The 21616-nt window shown below is 50.4% G+C and overlaps 1 protein-coding gene across 7 annotated transcripts in view, besides 3 other annotated features; it reads left to right on the top strand.

Moving 5' to 3' along the window:
• The window catches only part of DIP2C (disco interacting protein 2 homolog C), a 415468-nt gene that overhangs the window by 168804 nt on the left and 225048 nt on the right, over positions 1-21616 (top strand). For 2 of the 7 annotated variants that reach the window (XM_011519431.3, XM_011519429.4), the window contains exons 1-2: positions 5995-6972; positions 7242-7424. The exons of the other annotated variants lie outside the window; for them this stretch is intronic. In XM_011519431.3, the coding sequence (XP_011517733.1) occupies positions 7328-7424 (97 nt within the window). In that variant the 5' untranslated portion in view covers positions 5995-6972; positions 7242-7327. Of the gene's footprint in view, positions 1-5994; positions 6973-7241; positions 7425-21616 lie in introns of those variants that run through there. 7 annotated transcript variants of the gene reach the window in all.
• Positions 5850-6350: an enhancer, noted in NCBI's record as "H3K4me1 hESC enhancer chr10:560455-560955 (GRCh37/hg19 assembly coordinates)". NCBI's record gives its function as "activates a minimal SCP1, AML or CMV promoter by ChIP-STARR-seq in naive H9 embryonic stem cells {active_cell/tissue: H9 hESC(naive)}" and the evidence as "EXISTENCE:reporter gene assay evidence [ECO:0000049][PMID:30033119]".
• Positions 13329-13908: an enhancer, noted in NCBI's record as "OCT4-NANOG-H3K4me1 hESC enhancer chr10:552897-553476 (GRCh37/hg19 assembly coordinates)". NCBI's record gives its function as "activates a minimal SCP1, AML or CMV promoter by ChIP-STARR-seq in primed H9 embryonic stem cells {active_cell/tissue: H9 hESC(primed)}" and the evidence as "EXISTENCE:reporter gene assay evidence [ECO:0000049][PMID:30033119]".
• Positions 20240-21186: an enhancer, noted in NCBI's record as "H3K4me1 hESC enhancer chr10:545619-546565 (GRCh37/hg19 assembly coordinates)". NCBI's record gives its function as "activates a minimal SCP1, AML or CMV promoter by ChIP-STARR-seq in primed H9 embryonic stem cells {active_cell/tissue: H9 hESC(primed)}" and the evidence as "EXISTENCE:reporter gene assay evidence [ECO:0000049][PMID:30033119]".

The following is a 21616-nucleotide window of genomic DNA, read 5'->3' as shown; positions in this document are numbered from 1 at the left end:
CATATCCATGAACATGCAGATGGAGGCAACATATTAAACCATGGAAGTAGAATTAGTGTTCTTTTTCTGAGAAGACAAATTGTTAAAAAGCCCAAGGGGTCTTAGAATTTTTTGGTTTCCAACTTATTTGCCCTAAAGTGAAACTTTGGCAGCAGATGGTTGACAGCAGCAGAAGACGAGATCCTGGGCCAGTGCAGGCTCTGGGAGCAGCGGGGGAGTGCGGAAGGAGCTGCAGGCAGAGCAGGGAGCTGCTCAGACAGGTCAGGACGGCCCCAGGGCACGTGGCTCAGTGAGTGAGAAAGGGTTCATGTTTCCTGGAGAGCCCTGTCTCTGCCCACGGAAAACCCAAACTCCTTCCAACTGGGATGTGCATCTCATGTAAAAGTTGTTACTCCCAGAAAGCCAGTGGATATAGAATTTTTTTTGTATGCAGAAATTACTTTAAATTTATTTCTAACTTTATCCTTTTCTTCCCCCATCTTAAATTAATGTCTAGTAACTTTCTGCAGGTAACGCACACGTCTTCGGAAAGTGCTGTATTTCAGTTGCTGTCGGCTCTGATGTGACTTTGTGGCGTCTGATGTTCTGGTTCTGAGGTTCTGCCCAGAGCGCGGCCCTCCCTGCTGAGCGCTGCTTGTTGAAGGCCCGTGTGGAAACTTTGCCTGTAAGCATGTCGACCCCAGCCGCCTTGGTTCTCGGAAACCTTTGGGCCTGCTGAGACTTCACACGACCTTCTAAACTTCCTTGCATGACCTGTTCATTTTAGTGTTACCCATTAATTCAGATGTTTTCCAGAATGTAAGTAAACTGCTGAATGCAGGGTGGGGGCCTCCGTTGGCTCTGGGGAGAACCATCGCTGTTACTCCGAGTGGAGCTTCCTGCCCGCCATGGTGTGCTCCAAGACGGAGAAGGGTTCTTTGGGAGAAGCAGCCATCAAAGGCCCACGTCTCAGTGGCTGGGTGGCTGTGGGTGTGCAGCCTTGTGGCCATACTGGCCCCTCCCCCTCAATGGCAACAAGTAGAGGAGCAGGGGGGAGGCCTGGGATCTGTCTCCACGTCACAGCTGTGCTTCAAGACTGCGTCGTCCGTTTGTAACTAGACATGCAGAGAAAGTGTTAGCGATGAGCAGGAGACGGTTTCTGTCCCTAATGAGCTCAGGTGCGCCCTTGAGAGGGTCAGGTTTCTGTGCGGTTGATCCTGACTCAGCCTGGCTGTGGCAGTGTAGGTGACTGCTGGGCCCCTTGGCAAGGCTGCACCCACTGTGCATCTGAAACGGCCCTCTTCCCAGGCTCGTGGTGCCAGCTGGGGGGACCCAGGCCTGTGCACGTCCTGATTTCCCACCAGGATGGAGGTCCCATGTATGTGTGGGGGAGGGGAGGTGGGGGTCCTGCCTTATTGCCATATCCAATACCACGCGGGGTCAGCACTCAGGAAACGTGCTGCGTGGGTCAGCGATTGAATGAGTTCAGAAACCTCGAAAACTCAGCAGTGCAGGCTTTGGGCATGACCCATCCAGCCCCCGGGGGTCTTTCTCTGAATTTCCTTCCATGGCATCCACCTCATCCCAGGGGCTCCCCTGTCCCCTTACAGCTGTTGGCAGCTTCACAGCTTCCTCTGCCTTCCCTCCTGGGCCCTGGTGTGGCCGGGGCAGCTAGTGGCTGTGCAGACCCTGCAGCCAGGAGATCGTTGGTGCCAGCGGCTTAGGCCTGGGTTACCTGAGCCAAGGACTCCAGTGCACAGCTGGGCTCACCCCTAATGGCTGGATCGGAAGCCCTTGGGCTGCAGGTGGGGGTTGGATGTTGAAGGACAATCTGCAAAGCAGAAGGGGAAATGGGTGTGCTGGATGGACAGCTGGAGGAGTCTGTGCAGAGCCTGGGACCCAGTGCAGATGCAGAGCTGGCATGGGGAGTTTGACACGGCCACCATGGAAGTGGGCAAAGTTACAGGCTTCAGACTGACGTCGAGGGGCTGGTCTAAAATGATCCTCCTTTTCCTTTAATCCTAGTAACTGCTGGAGGTGGGATCTGTGGTGGCGGTGAGGAGAGACAGGGATTTTAATTAAACCTCTTTCTGGAAGAGGGGAGTAGCCATCTCTGTAGGACGGTGAGCATTGTCGTCTCAGGCAGCTAAGGCTGCTGTAACAAAACACCATTGACTGGCCTCTAAACAACAGGAATTTGTTTCTCACAGTTCTGGAGGGTGGAAGGTGGCATGAGGGTGCAGCATGGGTGGGTTCTGGTGTGGGCCCCTTCCTGGTTGGCACACGCCTTCTCTCTGGCCCTGACACAGTGGGAGGGCAAGAGAGTTGCTGGGCCCCTTTCTGAGGCACAAACCCCATTCATGGGGCTCCAGCTTCGGGAACTCATCACCTCCCAAAGACCTCCTGACACTGTCACGTTGGGGGTGAGGATTTCAACCTGTGCGTTTCTGGGGGAAAGCCTGTGTGGACACTGAGCAAGGTCAGAGCTGCAAGTGCGTACACATCAGGGCCAGGGGAGCTGCCAGCGGTGCAAGAGCAGGGTTTCAGCATCAATCGGAGCTGCTTTCCTGGCAGTTGTACTCATAAGCTATCCTGGCAACGCCGCTTTTCACGAAGGAGTCAGTCAGGCAGCAGGGGCAGCAGGTGGTGTTGCCAGAAGCTTGGAACTGACGGGTCAGCAGAGAAGAGGCAGAGGCCATGACCTTGGGGTGGTCAGCAGCACTGGGTGTCCGCCCTCCAGGCCTCATGCCTGTGACTGTGCAGAGACCGAGCTGACCAGGACTTGCTGGCCAGTGTGGCTGTCAGGCTGGTGATATCGGGGTGTGCTTTCCATGTGATGTTCCCTCAACCCCACGCCCACCCCACCAAACTGCCTAGCAGAAATCATGCTGCCTTTCCTTGATGAAACGTTGAGTTTCCTGTGGAGGTGTAGGAATAGCATGATTTGGCTCAAGTCAAAATACTTTGTGGTGAAACTGCACAGAAGAGGATCCTAGGCTTCCATTTGACGTTTAGACAATGCCTGAGGGTTACAGGACCCTCTTGTTAAAAAGCACCAGATGAGAAAGGCTACTGGTTGTTAATAAAGAGACCTTTTATATTATCACAGAGAGGGTGGCTTGAGATAAATTCAGTGTAACATACTTGTGTTTGTAAGCCGTCAATCAAAGGGACCATCTTTCTGCTGGTGACACGTTTCTGGTATTGATTTTGTTCTGAAAAAGGATGAATGGCATTCGGTAGAATCATTCCAAAATTCACTTGGAAGGCGTCCATATGGTGCCTTCTTTTCTTCTGACATTCTGGGTATCATGAGGAATTATTCTTGCCTTCACCGCCAGCAGGAGGCTTTTCCCAAACACCTGCTCCTCTTCGGCGTTGTGGGTGTGAAGGGGTCAGAGTGACCCTGTCTTCATGGAGCTTTCAGACACCAGGACAGTGTGGGGCGGAGCGTCGGGCTTGGGTGGGCCAGAGGCTTTCCCCAGAAAACAGCTGCTGACTCAGGACTGCCCTCGACTCCCCTCCCTTGTTCCTTCACCTAATGTCTGAATTAGGGCTGTGTTCTACCATAGTGGGGGTGTCATGTTAACTGGAAGTGTGCTTTTGTTCTGGGCAGTAAGTAAATTCATGGTACATTTGCCAAGGACAGCAAGGTTTGATTTGATGAATCCAGTGGAGAAATGGAGAAGGGAAAAGGAGAAGGGGCTTGGCTGGATGGGGATGTGTATGATGGGAGCGGAGAGGGGCGGCCATGCAGGCTGGTGGGATGGAGGGGCCAAGTCCGTGTTTCCATGGAGTCTGTCAACGTTTGACTGTGCCACTAGACCTGAACCTCTGTGCTCTACTTTTAAAAACCCCCACAGTGAGGAAGCCCCTGATGGGCCTGAGTTGGTACTTCCTGTGGCCATTGCTGGGAAGTGCCGCGGATGCCTCTCCTGGCTGATGATGGCCCCGGGCCTGGAAACTGGGTTCATCCTGAGCTCTGCGAGGGGCTTGGGTTCCATGCACAGCAGGCACCTGCGCATCCCCCTCCCCCATCCCCCTGTCCCCCCTCCCACCCTACCCCCTGTCCCCCCCCCACCCTACCCCGTCCCCCCCAACCCCCTGTCCCCCCCCACCCTACCCCCTGTCCCCCCCCACCCCCTCCCCCTTTCCCCTCCCTTCCCCCCCTTTCCCCTCCCTTCCCCCCCTTTCCCCTCCCTTCCCCCCCTTTCCCCTCCCTTCCCCCCTTTCCCCTCCCTTCCCCCCCTTTCCCCTCCCTTCCCCCCCTTTCCCCTCCCTTCCCCCCCTTTCCCCTCCCTTCCCCCCCTTTCCCCTCCCTTCCCCCCTTTCCCCTCCCTTCCCCCCCTTTCCCCTCCCTTCCCCCCCTTTCCCCTCCCTTCCCCCCTTTCCCCTCCCTTCCCCCCCTTTCCCCTCCCTTCCCCCCCTTTCCCCTCCCTTCCCCCCCTTTCCCCTCCCTTCCCCCCCATCCCCTCCCTTCCCCCCCATCCCCTCCCTTCCCCCCCATCCCCTCCTTCCCCTCCCCATCCCCCCCCTCCTCTCCCCCGCCTCCCATACTGCCCGGTTGTCCCTAATGGAAGAGAATCAATGATGCCACTTCACTGATCTCCAGGGAAAGCAGGTCAACAACAGGTTATAAACGTGGGAACATTTTGGAAAAGCTGTCATCTGCTTGTCAGCTCCATCTTTCCTGCCCGGAAGATGTAGGGAGAACCTGCCTTCAGCCCACCCTCATCCCATAACAGGATGGAGGACAAAGGTACAGAGACCCAAGTCATGCCAGTGGCTTCAGGAAACCCCCTCGTTTCCTCTCGTCGTGGAAGTGGAAACCATCCCACTGGACTAGATCTTCCTGGGGAAGCCCCTTCACCCCGAAAGCAAGGAATCTGGTTTGAGCACAGACATATTCTTAGTGCCATCACTTTCTGCAGCTAAACTCTCCGTGTGTGGCCTGTTAATCTTGCTAGTTCAGTGTTATTGGGTCCCAGGAGTTTCTGTGGGTTGATGGCAGGTGTTTACCATAGTGTTTAGAGACGAGAATAGAATTTTATCTATTGTGTGAAAATCAGGTGATAACCATTGCCGTGTGATTGCTTGGGTTGGGTGGGGGCGGTGCTCATAGCTTTTTCTGAAGGCTTTCTTATTTTTATTTTTATTTTTTTGAGAGACAGTCTCACTCTGTTGCCCAGGCTGGAGTGCAGTGATGCGATCTTGGCTCACCGCAACCTCTGCCTCCCGGGTTCAGGCAGTTCTTCCTGCCTCAGCCTCTTGAGTAGCGGGATTATTAGTGTATGCCACCACGCTTGGCTAATTACAAAAATTTTTAGTAGAGACAGGGTTTTGCCATATTGGCCAGGCTGGTCTTGAACTCCTTACCTCAAGTGATTGGCCCACTTTGGCCTCCCAAAGTGCTGGGATTAAAGGTGTGAGCCACTGCACCCGGCCCGATCCTGACATCTTTTAAATCTGCCTTCATGAACCAAAAGCCAGTCTATGTTTGAAAATCAGCTTGGAAGAGCCTAGGAGGAGAGGGATGTACTTCAGCTAGGTAAATAACTATGCATATGTTAAAAATATAGGCCACAATCTACCTCAAATGTTAACTCTTCTGCTTTGTATTTTATATCCATTTATGGTTATTCTTTCAGTATTAAGATTTTTAAAGATTCTTTTGACAATTATGGACAAGTTACTATTAAAACTCAGCTGCATTTGTAACACTTTAAAGAACCAATTGGATGACATTTTTTTCCCTGAGGCATTTTGGATAGTTATGTAATTAACGTTTATAATTCTTAATAGTGATAACACTAAGTGTTAAAATTATGGAACAATTTGTTTTTCTGAAAATTACTATCTGCCTGCTCACCAGGTGGGAGCTGATGAGAACGTGGACGTAAAAATTGTTTTTAGCTTGTATAAAAGAAGTTAAAAAAAGCTTGTTTTTTGCTACTACTGAAGTTGCTTAGCTACAGAAATGAGGTTATTGCAGGCACCTAGAATTTTACCCCCTTCACTTCCACAGTGGGAATAAATCCTCCAAGCACAGGAATCCGACATTCTGATATTGAGACTCCTAGGCATAAAGCCCCCCATGGAAGGGGGGTGGTGATTACGTGAATGTTGGCGTTGATACGGGCATCCTCCAAGCCGGACGCAGGGAGCAGGGACGTGCAGAAAGACCAGGTCCCTCAGGAGCCATGAGGAAATACGGTGTTGGCAGCAGTGGTGAGGGTCGGTGTCAGGGGCCAGGAGGAGGTGGCGAAGGGAGCATGTGCCTCAAGGCAGCCCTGGAACCCGCGGTCCTTGGAGTGAGGTCTGGTCTGCAGGGGGACACGGACGGCCATGCGGTGAGGCCCACAGACAGCCTGGACTTGGCTGCCTCAGAACCCTCTGGTGAACATTGCGAACGGCCCTGCAGGGTTGCAGTGTAAATTCCTCGGACAAAGAAGACGCCTGGAACTGTTCCCGGCACGAAGCCAGCACCCTGTGAATGGTGGCCGTTGCTGTTGTGACTGAGTGCCGTCGAACTGGGGGCATTTGTTCTGCTCAGTTCACTTAATTGGGCCAGGAGTGGGGTTGCCATGCCTTCAACAAGCTTGACGTATTGAACGAGAACTGAGTCGATAATGCACTGTGTAAATACGCTCTCCTGGCTAGAGTGAGCAAAGCCCAAGGAAGGGGGGTGGTTCTTCAGTATTAGCAGGTGTTTGTGGTGGGGCCAGCTGTGCGGCTGGCAGGGCGAATGCACCAGGAAGCCTCTGTCCCCCCGAGGTGGCCAGCATTCCTGTTACACATGCTATAGGCAGAAGGTGGGCACTGCTGGGGAACTTGCTCATGTTCCTGTTCTCTGATTGGAAATTCAAGGTTTCTGAGCATCCTACATCTGAATTTGTACATTGCCAAGACTGTACACATTTCAGCACTGTTTTTTCTGCTTTTTGGATCTATACAACCTGGCATTTGGCCGTGGCTTCCAGGACAGGCTGGATGGTGAGTGAAGTCCTTTCCTCACTGTCGATGTTTGCAGATGTCTTTTTGTATAAACTTTGTATTTCTTGAGAGGTTCGATTAGGTTTTTACTTAATGAGACTTTTAAAATTGCCATGCACATGATTCTACCAGTTACAATCGTGAGCTAACGTGAGTTTTTGGTTTTACTTTGATGAATGTTTAAACATGTGCAGGCTGGACATGGGGTGGGGGTGGAGGTCATTTATCTACTTTTCATTTCCTTCTTGGTTATACTTAGTGACTTTCAGGTAAGGTGTGGAAGGCGTGGTACAGGGTGAATTGCAGGCTGCAGTGTGGCGCAGTGGACCGCGGTGTGGCACGGTGGACAAGAAGCATGGGCTGCGGTGTGCTGTGGTGGACGAGAGCCACGGGCCGTGGTGTGGCGCGGTGGAGGAGAGGCGCGGGCCGCAGTGTGCTGTGGTGGATGAGAGGTGCGGGCTGCAGCATGCAGTGGATGAGAGTAAAGGGGAGACTTCCGTCCTTGAGGGAAACACGCGACAAACAATTTTAAAAACTGATCATCTGGCTTACATGGTCCAACAAATTCAGTTTGCAAAGTTTGACTTCTAAGTTATTGTAGTAACTTTTCCCCTAAGTCATTAATTTAGTAGCTTATGTTTATTTCTTTTGTCTAAAGCGAGTCATAAATTCTAACATGAACGACTAAACATGTAATAATTTAGGCATACAGCACCTGAAGGGAAAACTGCCAGTATGCTAAAATATTGGATACAGATGCTTAAAAAATATAATGTAGCACTCTTAAAATGCATGTGCTTTTAGCATGAAACTTGGTGAGTAGTTTTGAGCTATATTTGTAGGAATGTGTATCTTGAATACTTTAGGGCCCCACTGCAGATGTGTGCGTGAGATGTATAAATACTGAATGTTCTTCTCCCTTCCCTTAAATGAAAAACATTAGCTCCCTTTTTTTTTTTTTTTTTTTTTTCCTGAAGTGGGGTCTCGCTGTTGTCACCCAGGCTGGAGTGGAGTACAGTGGCGCAATCTCGGCTCACTGCAACTTCCACCTCCCAGGCTGAAGTGATTCTCCTCCCTCAGCCTCCCTAGTAGCTGGGATTACAGGCACCCACCATCATGCCTGGCTAATTTTTGTGTTTTTATTAGAGATGGGGTTTTGCCATATTGGCCAGGCTGGTCTCAAACTCCTGACCTCAGGTGATCTGCCCACCCCGACCTTCCAAAGTGCTGGGATTCCAGGCGTGAGCCACTGCCCGGCCAGCTCCTTTCTATAATGATGTATACAGTTGTTTTTGCTTTTTGTTTTTTGAGATGGGGTCTCACTCTGTCGCCCAGGCTGGAGTGCAGCAACGCAAATCTTGGCTGACTGCAGCCTTCACCTCCTGGGTGATCACCTCTCAGGTGATCCTCCCACCTCAGCACCCTGAGTAGCTGGGACTAGATACATATCACCACGCCCAGCTAATTTTTTATTTTTATTTTTATTTTTTATTTTTAGTAGAGACAGGGTTTTGCCATGTTTCCCAGGCTGGTCTTGAGCTCCTGGGCTCAAGCAATCTGCCTGCCTCAGCCTCCCAAACTGCTGGGATTACAGGTGTGAGCACCACATCTGGCCCATTTTTTTCCCTTCCAGGATTAGAAGTCAACTTTAAAAAACGCTTCAACCTTGCAAATTTAATTTTCCATAATAATATGCCTCTAGGATAAAAACAAGACAGAAACAAAGAAGTATAGGTGGACTGCAGTTAAAAATTGTCAACACGACATTGCTTAGGAAGGTTGACATTTACAAAGAGCAGGAGGCCCGTTCATGCCTTTGTAAGAAGGCACTGGGAACGGCCGTCTGTGGGCGACCCTAACGTGTGCGGTGTCCTGAGAGGTGATTGTGGTGCTCACGCTTTTACCGAGGGCCTCCCGGGAGTACCAGAGGCTCTTCTCCCGCAGTCGGCCAGCCAGGCAGCAGCAGCTGGAGAAGGAACAGACAGTAAAGGACAGATATACACGGTGTTATCGTGTCACACAGGTTAAAGCCAGGCTCACTTTGTTCTTACAGTTTTGAAAAACTAATAATGAAGTCCTTAAATATGTATTGCATTTCAGGATTTTTAAGCGGTTGTGGGTGTGTCTGTGTCTCTCTCTAGCTCCTGTTCGGTGCTCCCTGTGAAGAGAGCTCGGAGCCGCCACCCTTCATTGTTGAGGTGACAGGGCCTGGAGAGGTGTGAACCCCGTGGAGGGGTGACTGACTTGTGGGGGGAGGCTGGGTCAGTGTCGGGATCCACCTCCCACCACGTTCCTCTAGGGAAGCCACAGTTCTAAGTCTTTATGGGTAAAATGAACCTGGAAGACGTGTTATTTTTTAAGAAGTAAATGCTATGTTCTTTTTTCCTCATACTTCTCCGTGTTTAAGCAGCATTGAAGGATAAGGCACTAGTAGCACCTTGGTTTGGAAACAATCTTGTTGGTTATTTTACGTTGAATCTGATATTAAGGTTGCCTGGTAACAGAAGTTTTCCTTTAACGACATGGAACTCTGTTGAATCTGTTGCCCCATTGGCTGAGCCGCCTGAAATCAGTGCTGTGGCAGCTGAAGAGGCCGCTTCCCCTTGGAGGAAGCCGCTGGATTGGCAGGACACACCGCCCTTGATTGAGGCGAGTTTGCAGGAACTCCACGCTGGCACCTGCTGCTCTCTCCTGCCCCCTGCTGGCTGGCCAAGCAGCATCGCGACAGTGTGTTCAGCGTGAATGTTCACTGGGGCAGGCCAAGGCTTTTGTTCCAGAAACACCGACTTCAGAAACGGCTGTGTGTATTGAGCATGGCAAGAAAGACTTACGTGTGTCTTAAACCTCTTGAACAAAGCACGTCGATGTTTCAACTGCATCTCGAAGGCTAATAGACTTTGCTGTGGTCAATATTCAGGAGAAAATAGGTTTTAATGAGATAAAGACATGAGTGGCAAGTGACATGTTTGTGCCCCCGTATGACTAAGTGATGTCCTGGCTGTCCCACACCACCAGCTCTGAGCAGCCAGCATGCAGATATTGGGTCAATTTAGATATCCCTGATCTTTACGGAGGTTTGATCAGGCAGCTCAAGAGCAGATAAACACAAATGCTGACTGGAAACCCCGGCACACGGAGGCGCTGGAAACAGCAGGCTGCTGTTAACGTCACAGTGAGATGCAGTCAGCTGCTCTCTCAGGGGTGTCAGCTTCTTTTGCTTCTAGATTTCCGTCTGTGCTGCAATAGAGTTTTGTTCAGCTTATCCCCATTGCTCTGCTGTCTTCGCTGTTAAAATCTCAGCCAGCACTTGGCTCTGACCCTGCAGTAATTTCACTGTGCGGCTGCCCAGGCCTGCCTGGCACGGCTGTAAAGCAGGCGAGAGCTTTCCGGAAGGTGGTCACGAGAACCCCAGGCGGGAAAGAGCGTTGCTGGTCCACATACGGCAGTGCACCTGCAGCTGAGCATGTACGTGCACGTTCAGGCTAAATATAGGTGCAGGAGAGAAGAAAACTGCCTATGATTAGTCACTTAAAATGCCGAATACCCAGCCCCTGAGACCCTAGGACACAGAGCAGGGGTCTTGGAGACGGCAAGGTGTGTTGAAGTCTGGTTTTATCATTTAGTTTCTCCAAGCAGCATTTTCCTCATCTCTAAACTGGGGCTAACAACTGCCCCACATAGATTTGTGAATGGAACCAATGAGTGTAAAGTGGGGTAGCCCCCAGGACCTAGAAGGGACTCAGTCAGTTTCAGTGGTCATGCGTGTTGTACGGGTCCCCCAGGAAGGCGATTGCTACAGATAACTCCCTCCGTTCGATGTCACTGAATGTTAAAGTGGGACCTTGGCTTCTGATGTGTCTGGTTTGCTGCAGGCCGCGCTGCACCCCGTGGTTCCTGAGCCCTGGGCTGAAGTAGCCCTGCTGCATTGCCTGTGCCACTTTTGCTGTGAAAGGAGAACTCCTGCCCTGGGAAGCTTCCTCTTGCTGCTTAGCCTGATGAGCACCACAGGCTGCAGCGAGACCCATCTGAAGCGTGGGTTGGGAGGAGACTGCGGCGGCCCTGTCCTCTCCAAGCTGCTCTCCATGCCGAAGCGTGGGCTGGGAGGAGACTGCGGCGCCCCGTCCTCTCCAAGCTGCTCTCCAGGATGGGAGCGACTTTGTGGGGTTTGTCGGCCCTTCTCTGAGGTGTCCTGTGTCTCATGGATCTGCTTATGAGCCCCCTTAGATGCCTCTCTCTCGTCTGGACGAGCACCCTCCAAAACACTGCCTACCACCCGGATCTCCTGGCGCAGAGTGAGGTCACACCTGCAGCCCTTACCGCACAGAGTCCCTGAGATATTCGGCAAGAATGGGAATGGGCTGTGTGTGAGTTTCCGCTGCGGAAGCCGGCTCTGCTCCGTAGTCTGTCTTTGGGGTGTGGGATGTTCCGACCTGCTGTGTCCATCTGGAGCTGCCTCGGGGTGGGAGGGGGAGCAGCGCGGATGGATCCAGGGAAGGACCTGGTTGAATCCCAGCTGCTCACATACTTGTTGCTGGTCTTGGACAAGCTCCTTAGTGTCTCTGAGCTTCAGTTTGTCTGTAGGAGGAGGATGCTGCAGAAGTCTGAAGATATCGGTGCGTGCGGGAATACCTGGCGCGGTTAGGACGGGTTTTCCTTCAGTCTCCTCTATGCCCCTCCCCGGGTGAATCAGTATCCACGCGTGCCACCAGGGAATTACAGTCAGTCTAAAAAACCAATCGACCCCTAGTTGTATGGTCAAGCATCGTGAGTGTCCTTGCCAGGAAATGCCACTAGATATCTTGGGCCTGCTCGTCTGTCCACAGCAGTCCCTGGAACAGGCCGGTTCAGGACATGGGAGGTGGGAGTCAGTGTTCTAGCGAGGACAGGCTGAAGTTAAAAGGCTCATTTACTCTGTGAAGGGGTGCCCAGGATGAGACATCCAAGAGGTGCCAGGTGGCTGACCCTGGAGGTGGACGGTCGGGTCAGAGTGGCCGCCTTCCAGCACTGCTGTTGGAACAGCCGTGTTTTCGAGTGATGCCTTTTTTGGGTCATGCAGCCCTGATCAGTAGTACACAACTTCCCATCTCCAGCCAGTCTCGTCTCGCCATCTCCTGTATGTGCGGTACAGTTGCCTTTAAGTGGCTTCTTCTGGACGCTGCGGTTAGGGTGGCAGCAAGCAAACATGGGAGGCTTTTTTCTTACGTTGACCAAAATACGTGGGGCCAGCTTTGCATGATCCCATTCAGCATCACACTTGTCCATCAGCCACTCACCCATCCATCCATCCCAGAGAGTCCTGGACCAGACCATTGAGTGGTCTTTGCTGCGAAGAGCTTAGCGGCTCACAGGAAATCCGGAACCAGCACAATGGTAACAGTGCAGCAGGACCTGTCATTTATCAAGGCAGTATGCTGGGCCGGATGCGGTATGAAATTATCCAGTTAGGTAAGCACTGTTAGAATTAACCCCCTTTTGCCTACCAGGAAATCGAGGATGGGGGCATTAACGCTGGGGAGCAAGGGAGTAAGGGCACACATGGAGGGGCTGAGGGCCTGGGCACTCTGAGCCTGTGGATCTGCGCCCAGGCTGCACGGGCACCGGAGATGCTGCTCTGGAGTGGGTGAGGGGCTCTGGGGAAAAGATGGAGCCTGACATGGGTAAGATTTGGATATTTTCAGAAGAGATTTTCAGCCTGGAATGAGGGTGTAAGTGACTGAATCGCGGTGGTGAGCCAGAAAGCCTGGCTGCACGAGCTCCTCTGTGGCGTGAGGGAGGAAGGCGTTGGGGGAAGGTGGCTGAGCAGAGGTGCTGGGTCATCAGGAGCTGCTCTGTGCTTGGAAAGGGAGGGAAGGGCAGCACCCTGCACTGGAAGAGCACAGAGACGTGGTTGCAGCTCTTCCTGACCAGGACAGGCACAAATGGTGCTGATGATACAACGCATGGACTCTGTCTTCAGAAAAAGATTGTGGAAAAGTCTTCTCCTGTCTTTTAAAACTTGGGCCCCTCATTTAAACTTGGTGGCCTCAGGTGAATGGTCAGGAACAGTTTCTGAGGATGATGCAGAGATTGTCTGCAGCCTCTGATTGTGCTCAGGTTTTCACAGATGGGGTGGGACATGGGCACTGGGCTGGAATGCTCTAACCTTCGATCTTCAATCGTCAGTACTGAAAGGAATGTGCGGGAACAAACTCACCTGTGCGCATATGTATCGTTTTCAAAGACGGACGAGCTTTTGGGAAATATCTAAAGATTTCAAGTTTTGAAGGAAGCTGAGATGACACTGGAAACATCAGGAATCTTGGCTGATGACCAGGTCCGTCACCGCGCACACAGTCCCTAACCTCGCACGCCTCTGATTGGACACAGCGGGTGACCGGGTCCCTAACCTCACACACCTCTGATAGTGCACAGCGAGTGACCAAGTCCGTAACCTCACGCCTCTGTGCATAGCGGGTGACCAGGTCCCTAACCTCAAAAGCTTCTGATTGGGCACAGCTGGTGACTAGGTCTGTAACCTCGCACAGCTCTGGTTGGACACAGCGGGTGACCAGGTCCCTAACCTTGAAAGCTTCTGATTGTGTGCAGCTGGTGACTAGGTCTGTAACCTCATACGTCTCTGATTGGACACAGCGGGTGACCAGGTCCGTAACCTCACGCCTCTGTGCACAGCGGGTGACCAGGTCCCTAACCTCAAAAGCTTCTGATTGGGCACAGCTGGTGACCAGGTCTGTAACGTCGCATGGCTCTGACTGCACAGTGGGTGACCAGGTCCCTAACCTCGCATACCTCTCATCGTGCACAGCGGGTGACCGGGTCTGTGACCTCACACCTCTTATCGTGCACAATGGGTGACCGGGTCCGTGACCTCACACCTCTTATCGTGCACAGTGGGTGACCAGGTCCTTGACCACACGCCTCTCGTCTTGCACAGTGGTTGACCGGGTCCATGCCCTCACACCTCTGATCATGCACAGTGGGTGACCAGGTCTGTGACCTCACACCTCTGTGCACAGTGTGTGACCATGTCCATAACCTCACACCTCTGATCATGCACAGCTGGCGGGTGCAGGACCCACTTCAGTGAGGGGCTCGTTTCCTGGGTGTGAGGTGGGAACGTTGCGTGGCTCGCTAAGCCCCTCCTCCGTGCTTTGGGGGCTCCAGGCTGTGGCCGGCAAATAGAATGTTGTCCCGGGAGGCCACTGTGTGTTGGGGGATAGGAGGCAGCTGCAGACTGCAGGAGTGCCCAGCCCCTTGGTGCAGGGTGGTGTAGGCATGCGTGTTGCTGGGAGTGCCTTCTGCATGTGAGTACTGGGGATTCTATTCTGGTACGTTGGCGTATCATTCAGCGTCCCCATCACATTTGAGATGAACTGTGCTCTGTGAGTGGCCCTGCCCTGGGTCATGACCACACGCTGGACTTGAGCTGTGGGAGCCACATGGACAGTTGAAAGCCTCAGACCCCAGGGCTACACACACTGAGATTTCCCAACTGCCTCTCCCCAGGCCTTGGGCTGATCCCCCTTGCTGCTGCTGTCCCAACCCCTGACATGGCACAGCTTCCCTCTCAGAAGATGTCATGCAGCTTGTCTGCTCTTCATAAATCTTATGCACATTTGGATGCCTTAGCTTCATGCAGAAGTCCTGCAAGCAGGAGAAAATGGAGCCTTGACTCTGGGCTGGTGGTCTCCAGGCATCTCTCTCCAGCTGCATCCCAGCAAGTCAAGGTTATTTAAATGTGTCTTCCGAAGGGTAACGAGCATGGGAAGCATGTCAATGCCATGCAGTGTGAGGTGGTTCTGGGAATAACAGTACCTAGCAGCACATACCAGCACTCCCTTGTGCTGCCAAATGTGACATCGTGTAGATGTCACAACCTCCTTTTGTCACCTGCGTTCCTAATCCCCTGGATTTCTCAGCTTCTTTACTTCTCCAGGAGAAAACCTGCCCCATTGTCCTGTTACCTCTGAAAGGGAGTTTTTACAGCAGGAGATGATGCTGTAGCTGTCAGTGTAGGCACATGCAGCATCCTACTGTTGTCAGGTGCGCCCAGAGGAAATATGGCTGGGCAGGTGGTCCCCATCTCCTGTGGTGTCAGGGGCACCCACAGGAAGCACAGCTGGGCAGGCAGCTCTGTCTCCCTGGTGTCAGGTGCACCCAGAGGAAATATAGCTGGGCAGGTGGTCCCCATCTCCTGTGGCGTCAGGGGCACCCACAGGAAGCACAGCTGGGCAGGTGGCTCCATCTCCCTGGTGTCAGGTGCCCACAGAGGGAATATAGCTGGGCAGGTGGTCCCCATCTCCTGTGGGGTCAGGGGCACCCACAGGAAGCACCGCTGGGCAGGCAGCTCCATCTCCCTGGTGTCAGGTGCACACAGGAATCACAGCTGGGCAGGTTGTTTATTGCCAGGAAGTACAGCTGGGGATCAGTCGAGAGCCTCAGGCAGGGGGTTAATAGATTGGAAAGGTTGAGAACCTTGGCTTGATCACTAACACACAAATTGTGGCAGTAGAAGGTGGAGATGCCCCTGTCCGTTCCTCAAATGTTTTGCTTTCTCCTGTTTCCTGAAGAGCGTCTTGTTGCCTCCTAAGATAGCTCCTGCGTGTATATCTGTATATCCTTGTAGAGGGACTAGAGACACTGCTGGGAAGTTAGTGACTCTGTGTTGATGAGGTGCCGGTTATTAGTCTGTTGCCTTAAAACATCAGCAATTGGAATTGCTCCTCGGAACATGACTGGACCCGTTGCCGTTTTCTGTACAGTTTTCTTTTGGGGAGATGCACACGGTTCCGGGAAGGGTGCTGGGCTGCAGTAATATGGGTGTGGACACAGGTCCCATCAGAATAGTATCCCTTGGAGGGCAGGGTGGGGATCCCGCGGGTTCACGGCGGTTTTGCTGAATGAATGAATGAATGAATGAACGAACCTAGCACTGAGAGTCACATGAGCTCATATGGAAACAGCTTGGAGTGTTGAGAAATGGAGATTGAAGAGCTCACCTCTTCTCTGAGTATGACGGGGTCAGCACCGCTGGAGCTGAGGGTTTGACATGCAATGAAAGCCGTGATGCAGCCATAGTGCGATTTGGTTTATATAGCTATTGCCTTCTGTTATGAAGCTGAAAAGAACCAGGTTAGCGGCCACCTGCTACTCAGGCCTTATGCTTTCTTAGGAAACAGTAAGATGTACTAAATTTTTAGTGTTAAAGTGACAGAACATGGGAACACGGGAAGCGTCTCATCTTGTCACTTGTGACTTGGACACGGAGCCCGTGGGTGCTTCTCTCCATGGTCAGACTTGGTCATGGAGCCGTGGGTGCTTCTCTGCATGGTCAGACTTGGTCACGGAGCCGTGGGTGCTTCTCTGCATGGTCATCTTGCAGCTTCTGAGTCCCATCCTCGCTCTCCCGGCCTAAGGTGGCTGTGCTAGGGATCACACCTGCAGGTCTGACGGCAACATTGTGTGCTGGGTTTCTCTCCCAGGACTTCCAGGTAGTTCGTGCCTGGAATAGTTCCATGGTAGCAGGGTATCAGCGGGTGGCCAGCCTCGGCACGCCTGCATGGATTTGCCGTCTCGGGGGTGGGAGCCCCATGGCAGACGGCTGTTTCCCTTGCGTGCCTCTTCCAGCGTGGCCTTTATTCTCCACAGGGCGTTGGAACTGATTTTTGCACAACAGTGATTTGACAGTGATTGATACGCTGTGGGTCTCCAGCCCAAGGAGATGGGGATAAATACTCTTTATTGCTCTTTCATGCTCTGGTTAGGAAGGCAGTTAGGTTGAAGGCTGCAGTTACCACCTGTGTGTGTCGTGAGATGAAGAGAGAGTATTTCCATGAAATCCTCTCAGGTTACAGAATTAGACCAGTTGTATCTATAACCCAGAAGTTGAAAGCAGTTGACTTTAAGTGTGATCAGGAATCTGGAATTTAATTTCTGAGTAAAATAATTACTGTGGAAATGAGTCTTTGGACTTGGAATTGAAATCAATGGTTGTAAATTTAGGGTAAGTCACAGTAATGGGTTTAGACAAAACGTCTGATGTAGGCGGCAGAGATTTTCAGGTGTATATAGAACCGTGATGAAAACCATAGGGGACAAAGGAGGATTGTCCTGTCCTGAAAGATGTAAAAATGCGGTTACAAATGCAGACCTCAGTGTGCATATAGAGGCCAGCAAACGTTAACTCGGTGTTTGGCACAGCAGAGGGGTAAGAGCCGAAGGAATATTGCTGGATGTTCTTCAAATGACTCTTCCCTCTCAGGGTGGAAGCTGTGGTTAGCACCCACTGGTTTTGGGTCTGTCAGTGACGACTCCTGGATGGTCAGGTGGTGCTCTCAGAGAAAGAGGCTAGGAACACTTCCATGGTTTTCCGCCAGCTTTAAGATACATCTTTGTAGCCCTTGGTTCCATTTGTTTCTCCCTTGTAGTTTTATTTTGCTTGTTAAATTTATGTATAGTAGCACTGCCACTCTCTTTTGTGGTCAGTTCTTTTAGTTTCCGAGTGCTTATTATGTCCATCCACTTCATTGAAGTGTCTGTTCGATCTTTGCCAGTTTTTAAATTGGAACGTTTATTGTCCTGTTTCTTTCCCTTTCATGTAACTTTTAGCTTGTCTGCATCTACAGAAAGTCCTGGCAGGATTTATGTTGGAATCATGATAAGTCCGCAGGTCGGTGTCCTGGCGGGATTTATGTTGGAATCGTGGTAAGTCTGCAGGTAGGCATCCTGGCGGAATTTATGTTGGAATTGTGGTAAGTCCGCAGGTCAGTGTCCTGGCGGGATTTATGTTGGAATCGTGGTAAGTCTGCAGGTAGGCGTCTTGGCGGAATTTATGTTGGAATTGTGGTAAGTCCGCAGGTTAGTGTTCTGGCGGAATTTATGCTGGAATTGTAATAAGTCTGCAGGTCGGTGTCCTGCCAGGATTTATGCTGGAATTGTGGTAAGTCCGCAGGTCAGTGTCCTGGCGGGATTTATGTTGGAGTTGTGGTAAGTCTGTTGGTCAACGTGGAGAGAATTGGTGTCTTGACTGTGTTGCCGCTTCTCCTTGGACTCGTGGCTCAGTTGAGGTAGCTCTTTCCTTTCTTTCTTCAGTGTTTTGTGGTTTTCTTCATACACATCCTCTGTGTGCTTTGTTAAATGTATACCTAAGTGTTTTTTATACAGCTACTGTAAATAGTGTTGTTTTTAACATTTAGGTCCCAAATACTAATTGCCAATACGTAGAGTACACTTTGACTGTGTGCTGTGACTTGGCTGAACTCAGGTATTGGATCTAGGACTGACTTTTGTAGATCCCTTGGGAATTTTTATACGTAGGCTTTTGGTGTGACTTGAGTTTCCTCCTTTCTGTTTTCAGTTTCTTTGATTTGTGCTCATTATGATGTCTTTTTCTGGCTTTGAGTTTAACATAGAAGCTTAGATTATGGACCTGAGACCTTACTTTTTTCGAATATGAGCCTTTCGTCCTATGAGCTTACTTCCCATCATTATTTTGGCTGCATTTCATAGATTTTAATTTTTGTTTCAGTTCACTTGAAAAGTATTTTCCTTTGAACACTCATGGTGGTTTTATTTAGTTCACCCAAATCTCATTTTAGCAAAAGATAAAAATTCATGTAGGTTTAGTTCCTGTGTGTGCCTCATAATATCTTCACATTCTGTGCATTGACCAGTAAATGATTGGGCTTATCAGGGAGATGGTTGCATGGTATATTGGTGTTGTAAAAACTATGATGTGGGAATTTGAATGTTTTTGAGACAGGGTCACTATCACCCATGCTGGAGTATAGTGGTGGAATCATAGCTCAGTGCAACCTCGACCTCCCAGGCTCGAGCAATCCTCCCACCTCAGCCTACTGAGTAACTGAGACTACAGGTGCATGCTGTCATACCCAATTAATTAATTTTGTTTTTTGTAGAAATGGAGTTTCACTATGTTACCCAGGCTGGTCTTAGACTCCTGGGCTCAAGTGATCCTCCCACCTCAGCCTCCCAAAGCACTGGGATTACAGGTGTGAGCCAGCACACCTGGCCAGGAATTGAAGTGCCACGAAGGTGCAGAGGTTTTATGTTTTGTGTTCTGATATTGCCAAATACCTGGCACAGTGCCTGGCCTGTGGTCGGTGTGTAACGCATATTCCTGAATGAATGGATATTGCGGTGCCTATGTGTTGAATTCAATGTAATTTCACTCAGTTGTGTTTCTCCGTGCCAGTCCTTTTGCCTGTCTGGACTGCTTTGTTCTGCAAGTCACCTTGTAATACGATCATATTCTTCGATCGGTTTTGCACTTTGATTATTGACCTTTTTTTCATTTTAAATGAAGCCTCCCCATTCTTTCTGATCAGATATTCTCATCTTCCCTCTATAATTGGGGTAATATGGTATCAACGCATGTGTTTTCATAAACATATTATTATAAAAATCCTTGAATACATATGTGCTTACATAAACAGGTTTGTTTCATAAAAGTTGGTATTGCAAAGCAGAGATCTTAACAAGTTCTACTCATAATGTATCAATGAGTATAGGACTGCATACATTCTACTTTATTTGCCTTCTAAATAAAGTATATTCTTAATTATTGCCACTTAATAAAGGTTGGGCAAGATCTTCTAGAAAGGATGTTTCCACAAACTAAAGTGTGTACTATCAACATTATTATTTAAATAGCTAGTGAAACCATCAAAATCTTACCACATTTACATGTTGCACCAGGAATCATCTCTGCTTTCCTCCCTGCAACTCAGTATTTTTGACACAATGTGAATTAGTGCACAGGAAGCCTCAGTGTTTCCTGGAGGGTTGCCCGCAGCTCACTGGCCTCAGAGAAAGTCATAATGTGTGTACAAACTTCTCTGGAATAACTTGAGCTTATTACATATAACTTCTGGTAGGTCATTTGCCCCCTCCGCTCTCCAAAAGAAAACCTCAGGCCTCTTAAATTAACTACAAGCCTTTTTGGGACTGAGCCATTATTTTACACAGCAAGGTTGTCAGAAAAAAAATAGCTTTAAGGATGATAGAAAGATCTTAGCATTTTCTGAAGCCTGAAACCTATGGGGGGAGACATCGCAGTCATTCCTGTCCTGATGGGACCTGGCCTGTCTTGTTTTGTTATCCATTGCTTACCCAGATGAGGTGATTTGTTTAAGAAAATCATTGGAGTCATTGAATTAAGCATCCCTGTATTTCCAGCTTTTAAAAGATTTTAAGTTAAAATACAACTTTTTAAATCTTTTATCCAGCGAACATTTGGTGATATTGTGTCTGTGTTTCGTGTGCACTTTGTTTTGTGTAGGATTTCTGTTTTATGTACTCTGTCCATTGCATGGCACACAATAGGTATTAAATATTTGGGGGATGAATGAGGAAATAAAGTTCAGGATAATTTCTATGGCATTTGGAAATTCTCGTGTAAAACCTAGGCACGTACAGTGTTCCCAAACAAGGGCCAAGTGAAAGCTGCAGTATTTGTTTGATTAATTACTAAGGAGCAGTCACTTTCCCTTCATGTATCCTGGACTTGTGGGGTCACAGGACCTACTGAAATAGTACTGTATAACGTCTGCTGGAGCAGCCAAGGGCTGGTGGCTGCAGGTCTCAGGAAGAGAACACAGAAGTAGCCATGGGCCCTGCTCCTGAGACAGGCCAGGGGTTGGCTCTGAACCCACCTTTGCCCCAGACGCTGATGAGCACAGAGGTGGTTGTCAGGGAAGCTGGCACATTGCCTGCAGGGGTCCCTGGCAGGTACAGATGTAGGGGAGGGCCCAGCTGAACCCACATCTGCTGTGAAGGCTTGCAGGAGTCTGCGCTTGCTGAGGGGGCCCTAGTTTTATTCCCTGGGTCTGAACTTGCTCTCAGTGGCCCTGTCTGCCTTCAAAATCCACCCGAGCAAGAGCTGGGCTTAGGGTTGGGGCCCCTTCCCCAGTCCCATTGTGGCAGGGTCAGGTTACTGGAGATAAGTCCTAGTCAGCACCTAGGCTATTAACAAGTTCGAGGGGCTGGCATATCCATGCTTGCTCTATGATAAAGTCAACAATTTGGCAGATGGTAACTAGACATTTCAGAGTTCCTTTAAAATGGTGTTAGTAAAGCCCATGATACGGTTTGGCTCTGTATCCCCACCCAAATCTCATCTCGAATTGTAATTTCCATAACCCCCACATGCCAAGGGCAAAACCTGGGGAGGTGATTGGATCCTGGGGGTGGATTCCCCTATGCTGTCCTCGCGATTGGGAGATCTCACGAGATCTGTTTTTTTGGTAACTGTGTTCCCTTCCTGCGACCTGCAGCCACCAGCCCTTGGCTGCTCTGTCAGATATTATATGGTACTATTTCAGTAGGTCCTGTCCTCCCCCTCGCACACCTCCCTCTCACCTGCCGCCATGTAAGATAGGCCTTTGCTTCCCCTTCGCCTTCTGCCATGATCATAAGTTTCCTGAGGTCTCCCCAGCCATGTGTAACTGTGAGTCAATCAAACTGCTTTCCTTTATAAATTAGAGAGTCTTGGGCAGTTCTTTATAGCAGCGTGAAAACAGACTGATGCAGCCCAGCGGTCCACAGAGGGGGAGCCCAGCCGTCCACACAGGGAGAAGGTGACAGTGCAAATGCTGCTGTCAGGGCTGCGCTGCCAACGAGCAGCCAG

Source organism: Homo sapiens, chromosome 10 (assembly GCF_000001405.40).
Source record: "Homo sapiens chromosome 10, GRCh38.p14 Primary Assembly".
NCBI classification, from domain to species: domain Eukaryota; kingdom Metazoa; phylum Chordata; class Mammalia; order Primates; family Hominidae; genus Homo; species Homo sapiens.
This window is presented reverse-complemented; position numbering and strand designations above follow the sequence as displayed.